General features: G+C 49.1%; 1 pseudogene, besides 4 other annotated features; it reads right to left on the reverse strand.

Moving 5' to 3' along the window:
- Positions 1678 to 2449: an enhancer, noted in NCBI's record as "H3K27ac-H3K4me1 hESC enhancer chr4:49272361-49273132 (GRCh37/hg19 assembly coordinates)". NCBI's record gives its function as "activates a minimal SCP1, AML or CMV promoter by ChIP-STARR-seq in primed H9 embryonic stem cells {active_cell/tissue: H9 hESC(primed)}" and the evidence as "EXISTENCE:reporter gene assay evidence [ECO:0000049][PMID:30033119]".
- Positions 1678 to 3221: a biological region, named in NCBI's record as "H3K27ac-H3K4me1 hESC enhancers GRCh37_chr4:49272361-49273132 and GRCh37_chr4:49273133-49273904".
- LOC124900865 (translation initiation factor IF-2-like) lies at positions 1739 to 10600 on the reverse strand (annotated as a pseudogene).
- Positions 2226 to 2520: a silencer, noted in NCBI's record as "tiled region #1861; HepG2 Repressive non-DNase unmatched - State 20:ReprD, and K562 Repressive non-DNase unmatched - State 25:Art". NCBI's record gives its function as "represses a minimal TATA promoter and a strong SV40 promoter by Sharpr-MPRA in HepG2 and K562 cells {active_cell/tissue: HepG2 | K562}" and the evidence as "EXISTENCE:reporter gene assay evidence [ECO:0000049][PMID:27701403]".
- Positions 2450 to 3221: an enhancer, noted in NCBI's record as "H3K27ac-H3K4me1 hESC enhancer chr4:49273133-49273904 (GRCh37/hg19 assembly coordinates)". NCBI's record gives its function as "activates a minimal SCP1, AML or CMV promoter by ChIP-STARR-seq in naive and primed H9 embryonic stem cells {active_cell/tissue: H9 hESC(naive and primed)}" and the evidence as "EXISTENCE:reporter gene assay evidence [ECO:0000049][PMID:30033119]".
- Positions 10601 to 10974: the final 374 nt, after the last annotated feature.

A 10974-nucleotide genomic window follows, 5' to 3' on the forward strand; every position in this document is an offset into this window, starting at 1 on the left:
AACAGCATTATCCTTATACCAAAGACAAAGAGAGCACAAAAGAGAGAAATACAGCACTATATCCCTTATGAATATATAAGCAAAAATCTCAGCAAAATACTAGCAATACTAGCAAAATACTAGCAGCAATACTGTATAATCAAAGGATTGTAAACTATCACCCTTTGAGATTTATCCCCAAAATGCAAGGGTGGTTCAACATATAAAAAATCAATCAGTGTAATATGCTGTAACAGTAAAATGAATAAGCACGTGATTATTTCAATTGATGCAGAGAAAACATTGATGAAATACAACACCCTTCTATAATAAAAATACTCAATAAACTAGGCATAGAAGGGATCTTCTGCAACATGACAATGGGATGTACAAAAACCCAACAGTTAATATCATGATCAATGATGAAACACTGAGAGCTGTTTTCCTAATATCTAGAAGAAAAGGATGGTGCATTTGCCACTTGTATTCAACGTAGCACTGGCAGTTCTAGCCAGAGCAATTAGGCAAGACAAAGAAATAAAAGGCATCTAAATTAGAAATAAAAAATAGGTGTAAAATTATATCTACACATGATCTTGTAGGTATAAAGCTCCAAACAAAACACAAAACCGATTATAACTAATAAAAGAGGCAGGATGCAAACAAACATAGGCAAATGAGCTATATTTCTATATAGTTGTAAAGAACTATGAAAACATTTTAAAAATTCCATTTATAATGACATCAAAGAATACGTTATTCAGGCATAAATCTAACCATGGTGGTATACACAAAACATTGCTGCAAAAAACTAAAGAGAGTGGAAATAAGTGGAAAGACATTCTGTGTTCACGGGTTGTAAGACAATATTGTTAAGATGACAATACCATCTAAAGTAATCTACAGATTCAATGCAATACCATCAAAATCCCAAAGGCATTTTTGCAGAAACAAAGAAACTCATTCTAAAATCATACAAAAATTCAAAGGATCTGACAGACAAAACAGTCTTGAAAAAGAACATTGGAAAACTCACATTTTTCAGTTTCACAGCCTACTACAAATCTACAGTAATCAAGAGAGTGTGGTACTGGAATAAGACCAATAGACTTTCAGACAAATACAATAGAACAGATTTGAGATCCTACAAGTTAGTCCTCACATATATGGTCAATGACTGTTCAACAAGGTGGCCAAGTCTAGTCAAGGGAGGAAAGAACAGTCTCTTCAACAGCTGGATGTCAGTGCACAAGAGAGAAGTTAGACCCCTACCTTGCAGTATATACAAAAATTAATTCTAAATTAATAAAAGACTTAAATGTAAGGACTAAAAATATGTAACTCTTAGAAGAAAACACACGGTAAACCTTTATGACCTTTGAGTTTTAAGTGTATTTTGAAATATGACAGAAAAGCACAGATAACAAAAGAAAATACACGAAAATTAGATTTAATCAAAATAAAAAAACCCTTTATGCATCAAAGGATACTATCAAGGGAGTGAAAAGACAACCCATAATATGTGAGAAAATATGTATCTGATAAAATCAAAATGTGTATCTGATAAAAGCTTAATATCCCACAACTCAACAACAGAATTTCTAAGATCCCAATTAAAAAAATAGGCAAAGGACTTGAACAGACATTTCTCCAAAGAAGATACACAAATGTCTAAGAAGGAAAAGAAAAGATGCTAAACACCATTATTCATTAATAAAATGCAAGGCAAAACCCAAATGAGACGCCACTTTGCATCCACTAGTAAGGCTTTCATAACAACGACACAGAAAATCAATGTTGCTAAGGAGGTGGAGAAACTGGAGCCCTCATGAACTGGCTGCTAGGAATAGAAAATGATGCACTTGCTGTGGAAAAGAGTTTGGTGGTTCCTCAAAGAATCACACAGAGAAACAGGCGCCGCTGGCTTGCAGGTTCTCCTGGGCTGGCGCGGGACGTCCCGGAATCGCAGGCGCGCATTCCTTCCCGCCTGAGGGCCCGCCTGGCCGTGACTCCTGCCCCTCTCCTCCTCCGAAGAGAGATCGGGGCCGCCCCAGCGGCCGTCTGCAGCCACCGGGGATGGGGCTGAGGGTCGGTTCCTGCCCCGGTGCAGCCGCCCCTGGGCAGACCGCCTGGCTTGGTCGCAGCCACGGCGACATCTAGCCCCAGTTCTGCGAGGCTGGGCGCGCCAGCCAGCTTGGGAGTCGCCCGGCGCCTGTAGCTGGGTGCCCAGGTGGTGGAGCATGCCCTGGGCCGCCTCTGGATCGCGGGTGCCCCTGGCCTGAGAGCCTGCCAGACCCTGCCCCGGCCCGGCTCCTCCTCTGTCAGAGCTCCAGGTCTCTATCCAGGGGCCCTCTGCAGCCACCGGGGATGGGGCTGAGGGCCGGTTCCCGCCCCTGTGCAGCTGCTGCAGGACAGACCGCCTGGCTTGGCCACAGCCACAGGGACATTTGGCCCTGCTTCCGAGATGTGGGGAGTGTGGGCGAGCTCGGGAGTTGCCTGGAGGCTGCTGCCTGCACGCAGAAGGCGGCTGCAGCTCGGGTGCCCAGGCGGGCTGGAAGTGCATGGCCTGGTCGGCCTTGGGATCGCCAGCGCGCCCAGCCTCAGGGCCCCCAGGCCGTGCCTCCCGACCACTCCTCCACCTGAGGGAGATCGGAGCCGTTTGTATGGGCACTCGGCAGTCACCTCGTGTGGGGTTGAGCGGTGGGTTCTCAGTTCTCGCTCCTGTGCAGCTGCTGCCGCAGGGCAGAATGCCTGGCTTGGCTGCAGCCACTGGGACACGTGGCCCTGCTTCTGTGATGCTAGGAGCGCGAGCGGGCTCGGGGGTTGCCAGGCAGCTGCTGCCTGCACACAGAGGGCGACGGCAGCTTGGGCGCCCAGATGGCGGAGCATGGTTTGGGTGGCCTCTGGAATGCGTGCGCGCCAGGCCTGAGGGTCACCCTGGTGGGGCCACATACCCCGGTCTTCCTCTGCTGGAGCCTGGAGCAGCTGGAATGGCCACTACTCCGTCACAGGGGATAGAGTTAAGTTTTCTTATCCCACCCATGCACACAAAAAGGTGACGATTCTGTGAGGTAATAAACGTGTTAATTGACTACATTCATGCCACTCTGCACCCACAAGTAAGGCTTTCATAACAATGACACAGAAAATAAATGTTGCTAAGGAGGTGGAGAAGTTGGAGCCCTCATGATTTGGCTGCTAGGAATAGAAAATGATGCCCTTGCTGCGGAAAACAATTTGGTTGTTCCTCACAGAATGAGCATTGGGTGAAAAATGAAATCAAGATGGAAATGTAAAAAATTTATTCGAACTGGATGACACAACCTATCAAGACCTCTGGGATACAGCAAAGGCACTGCTAAGAGCAAAGTTTGTAGTCCTAAAAACCTACATCAAAAAGTCTGAAAGAGCACAAACAGACAATCTAAGTTCACATCTCAGGGAACTAGAGAAGCAGGAACAAGCCAAACCCAATCCCAGCAAACACAGGAAATAACAAAGATCAGAGCAGAACTAAATGAAATTGACACAACAACAACAACAACAACAAATACAAAACATAAATAAAAGAAAAAGTTGGTTATTTGAAAAGATAAATAAAATTGATAGACCATTAGCAAGATTAACCAAGAAAAGAAGAGAGAAAATCCAAATAACCTCACTAAGAAATGAAACAGGGGATATTACAACTGACACCACTGAAATATTAAAGATTATTCAAGGGTACTATGAACACCTTTTGGCACATAAACTACAAAGCCTAGAAGAGTTGGATAAATTCCTGGAAAAATACAACTCTCCTAGCTTAAATCAGGAAGAATTAGATACCCCAAGCCGACCAATAAAGCAAGCAGCAAGATTGAAATGGTAATTTTAAAATTACCAGCAAAAAAAGCTGAGGGCCAGACAGATTCACAGCAGAGTTCTACCAGACATTCAAAGAATGTCTTCTTTCATTCAAGGAAGAAATGATACCAATCTTTTCATACTATTCCACAAGACAGAGAAAGAAGAAACCCTCCCTTATTCATTCTATGAAGCCAGCATCACCCTAATACCAAAACCATGGAAGGACATAACCAAAAAAGAAAACTACAGACCAATATCCTTGATGAACGCAGATGCCAAAATCCTTAACAAAATACTATCTAACTGAATCCGACAACATATCAAAAAATAATCCACCATGATCAAGTGGGTTTTATACCAATGATATAGGAGTGGTTTCACATATGCAAGTCAATAAGTGTGATACACCAAATAAACAGAATTAAAAAAAATCTAATATGATTATATCAACAGGTGCAGAAAAAACATTTGACAAAATCTAGCATTGCTTTATGATTAAAGCTCTCAGCAAAATAGGCATACAAGGGACATACCTTAATGTAATAAAAGCCATCTATGACAAACCCACAGCCAACATAATACTGAATGGGGAAACGGTGAAAGCATTCCCTTTGAGAACTGGAACAAGACGAGGAGCCTACTCTCACCACTCCTCTTCAACATAGTACTGGAAATCCTAGCCAGAGCAATCAGACAAAAGAAGGAAATAGAGGAAATCCAAATCGGTAAAGAGGAAGTCAAACTGTCACTTGTTGCTGATGATATAATCTTTTGCCTAGAAAACCCTACGGACTCCTCTAGAAACCTCCTAGAACTGATAAAAGAATTCAGCAAAGTTTCCAGATACAAGATTAATGGACACAAATCAGTAGCTCTTCCATACATCAACAGCTACCAAGCAGAGAATCACATCAAGAACTCAACCCCTTTTACAATAGCTGCGACAAACAACAACAACAAAAAAACAAAACTTAGGAATATACCTAGCAAAGGAATCAAAGGACCGCTACAATGAAAATTACAAAACGCTACTGAAAGAAATCATAGATGGAGCCAAGCACGGTGGCACATGCCTATAATCCGAGCTACTCGGGAAGCTGAGGCAGGAGAATCGCTTGAACCCGGGAGGCAGAAGTTGTAGTGAGCCGAGATCACACCATTGCTCTCCCACCTCAGCGACAAGAGCGAAACTCCTTCTGAAAAAAAAAAAAAAAAAAAAAAAAAAAAAAAAAAACAAAAAAAAAAAAAAAACAAGAAAGAAAAGAAGTCATAGATGACACAAACAAATGGAAATGCATCCCCATGCTCATGGATGGGTAGAACCAATATTGTGAAAATTACCATTCTGTTAAAGGCAATCTACAAATTCAATGCAATCCCCATCTGAATGCCACCATCATTCTTCACAGAATTACAAAAACAATTCTAAAATTAATATGGAACCAAAAGAGAGCCATGTAACCAAACCAAGCCTAAGCAAAAAGAACCTGGAGGTATCACACTACTTGATTTCAAACTGTACAATAAGGCCATAGTTACCAAAACACCAACGTACTGGTTTAAAAATAGGAACATAGACCAATGGAACAGAAGAGAGAACCCAGAAATTAACCCAAATACTTACAGCCAACTGATCTTCGACAAAGTAAACAAAAACATAAAGTGGGGAAAGGACCCCCTTTTCAACACATGATGTTGGGATAATTGGCGAGCCACATGTAGGGGAATAAAACTGGATTCTCATCTCTCATCTTATACAAAAATCTACTCAAGATGGATTAAGAACTTAAATCTAATTCCTGAACTATAAAAATTCTAGAAGATAACACTGGATAAACCCTTCTAGACATTGACGTACGCAAGGATTTCATGACCAAGAACCCAAATTCAAATGAAATAAAAACAAAGATTAATAGCTGGGACTTAATTAAACTAAACAGCTTTTGCATGGCAAAAGGAACAGTCAGCAGACTAAATGGACAACTCAGAGTGGGACCCCTGAACCTGACCCTGACCCCTGACCCTGATCCCTAACCCCTGACCCTGACCCCTAACCCCTGACCCTAACCCTAACCCTTAACCGTAACCCCTAAGCCTAACCCCTAACCACAACCCTCACCCTCACACTAATCCAACCCTAACCCCTTATCCCTAACCCCTAACCTCTCTTAACCTCTAACTCTAAACGTTGACTCTTAACTCTTAACTCTGACCCCAACCCCTATCTCCAACCCCTAACCCTAAACTTAACCCCTAACCCCTAACCCTAACACCAACCTTAACCCTAGGTTCGTTACTACGTTTGTACTATGTCAATGTTGATTATTATGATCTCTGTCTTAGGACTGCATGGCAGCAAGGGGATTGCGGATCTTATATTAATATTTTTGTATTGAGGCAGTGCATTAGCATTACAGGTGCTTGTTACATGAGCAATGGGAGTGTCATAATTTGGGTGTCATGTCTGCATTAGGAATGCTGCATTTGTCTTCCGAGTCTGCGGTGTGGATCTCGCACTGTGGCCGCCTCGGCTTGGCTGGGGAGAACCTCGGTTGGCAGGATTCAGAGGGGCTTTTGGTTTCCCTTTTCCACACTGAGCCCTTCTAACTGGTCTCTGGCCCTGATTATTCAGGGCTGCAAAAGGGAAGGATTTTATTCACCGTCTATGCGGTCCCGAGTTGTCCCAAAGCGAGGCAGTGCCCCAAAGGTCTGTGCTGAGGAGAACGCTGCTCTGCCTTAGCGGTGTCCCCCGGGTCTGTGCTGAGCAGAACGCAGCTCCGCCCTCGCGGTGCCCCCGGCCCGCCTGGGTCTGTGCTGAGGAGAACACTGCTCCGCCTTCGCTGTATCTCTGAAGTCTGTGCAGAGGAGAACTCAGCTCCGCCCTGGCGATGCTCTCCTTGGCTGTGCTGGGAAGAACGCAGCTCCGCCCTCGCAAAGGCGCACAGCGCGGGCGAAAGGCGCAGAGAGGCCCACAGCGCCGGGGCAGGCGCAGAGAGGCCCACAGCGCCGGGGCAGGCGCAGAGAGGCCCACAGCGCCGGCGCAGGCGCAGAGAGGCAGAAGGCCCATGAGGGGAAGGTGAGACACCTGGGGCAAAGAAGAAAAAAAAATGCGCCGCGAAGCAGTGTCTGGGTCATCCAGGGACGAAAGTTTTTTCCCATCAGGCCTTGCGCTGGGCCCCAGGGACCCTGGCATCCCTGGTTCACGCCCGGGGTGTGCCTCAGGCGACTAGGGGTACCCCAACTTGGACAGAAGGCCCATGAGTGGAAGTTGAAGTTTGTGGGAGGAGAGGTGAGGCACCAGGGGCAGAAAAAATAAAAAAAGAGGACCGCGTCTCAGAGAAGCGGGGCCTGGGTCCCCCACGGATGAAAGTGCCTTCCCATCAGGCCCTATGCTGGGCCTGGTGGACCCTGGCGACCCTGGTTCGAGCCCAGGGTGCGCCTCGGGACAGCTTGGGGTACCACAAAGCAAAGAAAAGGTCCATGAGGGGAAGGTGAGGCACCTGAGGCAGAGAAAAAAAAAATGCTCAGCCGAGAAGCAGTGCCTGGGTCCCCCACGGATGAAAGTGCCATCCCATCAGCCCCTTCGCTGGGCCCTGGGGACCCTGGCGTCCCTGGTTTGACCCTGGGGTACGCCTCGGGACAGTAGGGGTACCCCAAGGTGGGCAGAAAGCCCCTAAGGGGAAGGTGAGGCACCTAGGGCAGAGAAAAAAAAAAACTTCACCACGGAGAAACACGGCCTGGGAGCCCCACAGACGAAAGTGTCTTCCCATCAGTCCCTGCACTGGGACCCAGGGACCCTGGTGTCCCTCGTTCGAGCTCAGGGTGTGCCTCGGCCGCTAAGTGCACCCCAAGGGGGCTTTGGGGACACAAAACCCGTGAGGGGAAGGTGAGTTTTGAGGGAGGAGAGGTGAGGCACCTGTCACAGAAAAAGAAAAAAAAGAAACCCGCACCGCGGAGAGGTGGGGCCTGGGTACCCCACGGATGAAAGTGCCTTCCCATCAGCCCCTGCGCTGGGCCCCGGGGAACCTAGAGTCCCTGGTTGGAGCTCAGGGAGAGTCTCGGGCCACTAGGGATACCCCAACACGGTGGAAAGCCCATGAGAGGAAGGTGAGCTGTGAGGGAGGAGAGGTGAGGCACTTGTGGCAGAAAAGAAAAAGAAACCGCGCCACGGAAAAGTGGGGCCTGGGTCTCCCATGGAAAAAAAGTGCCTTCCCATCAGTCCCTGAGCTGGGCCACGTGGACCCAGGCGACCCTGGTTCTAGGCCTGGGTGCACCTCGGGCCCGCTAGGTGTACCCCAAAACGGGCAGAAGGCCCATGAGGGGAAGGTGAGGTTTGAGGGAAGAGAGGTGAGGCACCTGCGGCAGAAAAAAAAAAAAACCGTGCGGAAGAGAAGCGGGACCTGGGTCTCCCACGGACGAAAGTGCCTTCTCATCAGCCCCTGCGCTGGGCCCCCTGGACTCTGGCGACCCTAGTTCAAGGACCAGAAGAGACTCCGGCATGCTAGGGTACCCTAAGGAAGCCAGAAAGCCCATGAGGGGAAGGCGAGATTTAAGGGAGGAGAGGTGAGTCACCTGTGGCAGAAAAATATATATATATATATATATATATATCAGCACCTCGGAGAAGCCGGGCCTGGGTCCCCACTGATGAAAGTGCCTTCCCATCAGCCCCTGCGCTAGCCCCGAGAACCTGGCGACCCTGATTGGAGACCCGGGAGCGCCTCGGGCCTGCTCGTGGTACCCCAAAGCAGGCAGAAGGCCAGTGAGGGGAAGGTGAGGCACCAGGGGCGGAGAAAAAAAACCGCAGCTTTGAGAAGCGGGGCCTGGGTACCCACGGATGAAGGTACATTCCCATCAGCCCCTGCGCTAGGCCCCGGCGACCCTGGCATCCATGGTTCGAGTCCAGGGAGAGCCTTGGGCCGGAAGGGGTACCCCAAGTAGAGCAGAAAGCCCATGATGGGAAGTTGACGTTTGAGGGAGGAGAGGTGAGGAAACTGTGGCAGAAAAAAAAAAAGAAAACAAGCCGCGCCTAGGAGAAGCTGGGCCTGGGTACCCCAAGGATGAAAATGCCTTCCCATCAGTCCCTGCGCTGGGCCCTGTGGACGCTGGAGACCCCAGTTCGAGCCCCGGGTGCGCCCCGGGCCTGCTAGGGGTATCACAAGGAGGGCAGAAATCCCATGAGGGGCAGTTGAGGTTTGAGGAAGGAGAGGTGAGGCACCTGTGGCAGAAAAAAAAAAACTGCACCACGGAGAAGCGGAGCCTGGATCCCCAACGGAAGAAAGTGTCTTCCCATCAGCCCTTGCGCTGGGCACAGGGGACCCTGGCATTCCTGGTTCGAGACCAGGGTGCGATTCAGGCCGCTAGGGGTACCCCAAGACAGACAGAAGGCCCATGAGGGAAAGGTGAGACACCTGGGGCAGAGAACAAAATAAAAAACTGCGCCCACCAGAAGTGGGGCCTGGGTTCCCCATGGACGAACGTCCCTACCCATAAGCCCTACACTGGGCCCCGGAGACCCTAGCATCCCTGGCTCAAAACAAGGGTGCGCCTCGGGCCGGCTAGGGGTACCTCAAGGCGGGCAGAAAGCCCATGACGGGAAAGTGAGGCACCTGTGGAAAAGAAAAGAAAAAAAAACGCCACAGAGAAGCAGAGCCTGGGTCCCCGAGGAAGAACGTGTCTTATCATCAGCCACTGCGCTTGACCCTGTGGAACCTGGCTTCCATGGTTCAAGCCCAGGGTATGCCTTGGGCCGCTAGGGGTACCCCAAAGCTTGCAAAAAGCACAAGAGGGGAAGGTGAGGCACCTGGGGCAGAGAAAAACAAACACAGCCGCGGAGAAGCGGGGACTGGGTCCTCCAAACGGACGAAAGTATCTTCCCATCAGGCCTCGTGCTGGGCCTCAGGGACCCTGGAGTCCCTGGTTCGATCCCACAGTGCACCTCGGGCCGCTAGGTGTACCCCAAGGCAGACAGAAGCCACATGAGGGGAAGGTGAGATTTGAGGAAGGAGAGGAAAGGCATCTATCGTAGCAAAAAAAAAAAAAACCGCGCAAAGGAGAAGCAGGGAATGGGTCCCCCACAGACGAAAGTGCCTTCCCATCAGGCCCTGAGGGATTGAAACAGAATGAGGAGTGACTAATGTCTACAGAGTTTTTCTCTGGTCGGGGGTGATAAGACGTTCTACAATGGATTGCGAATTAAAATTGAATGTGCACAACCACAGGTATACTAAAAGCCACTCAATTCATGACTTTTAATGGGGGAATCTTATGTGGCGCACTCTCATGGAGACCACGGCAGACATAGTGAGAGAGAAAAAGGTGAGTAAATATCTGAAACGGAGGCAGAAACAGAGAGAATGAAAAGCCCTGTGAATGGAAGGGAGAGCGAAAAGGGAAAATGGTCCTATTTACAAATGACAGATGTGAAACTGGGGTTCACATCAACAGTGTCAATGCCAGGAAGGAGGGTGATGCTAGCCATGTCACGGGCAGTGTGTCCCACAGGGACGCCGACCTGCTGGAGCGTCTTGCCAGCATGGGCTCTGGCAGCCACGTGGGCCAGCAGGAGGGTCCCGCTGCACAGCTGTGGGGTGAGGATAGACTGGGTGGTGATATCGGCCATGACAGGGGCCTCTTCTGCTGGCAAGAGTGTGCCAGTAGCAAGTAGATGGACAGGCCTGCGTGTGAGGACGGAATGCAGGAGGGGCTCTTGTGAGGCTGGGTGTGGGGCCCTCACGGGAACCGTGGAGTAATGGCCAGGTAACTGCGTCATGTGGGCTAGTAGATTGGCCAGGACTTCGAACTGAAGGACAATAACGGGGAGTAGCTGTCAGGCCCTGGGAGTGTCTGAGTGTAAGTGGAGATGGGTTTTGTGTCACTGAGGGATGCGTGGGAGCCATCCCTGTATAGGTACAGGTCATAGGGAGATACTCTCGTGAGGCCTGTGAGTGTCTAGGGTTGTCCTGGGTGCCTGGGGCTGACTGTGGCAGAAATCTGGGGAAGGCTGGAGAGAAGCTGGGAGACCCAGGAGAGTCCCTGAAGGCAGGGGGTGAAGAGGTGAAAGAAATGGTGGAGGGTTGCAGTAAGGTCCGTGAGTTTGTAGGTGATTCCTGGGTGCAGGAAGCTGACTCCAGGTGATATCTGGAG

The sequence above is a fragment of the Homo sapiens genome, chromosome 4 (assembly GCF_000001405.40).
Source record: "Homo sapiens chromosome 4, GRCh38.p14 Primary Assembly".
Taxonomy (NCBI): Eukaryota; Metazoa; Chordata; class Mammalia; order Primates; family Hominidae; genus Homo; species Homo sapiens.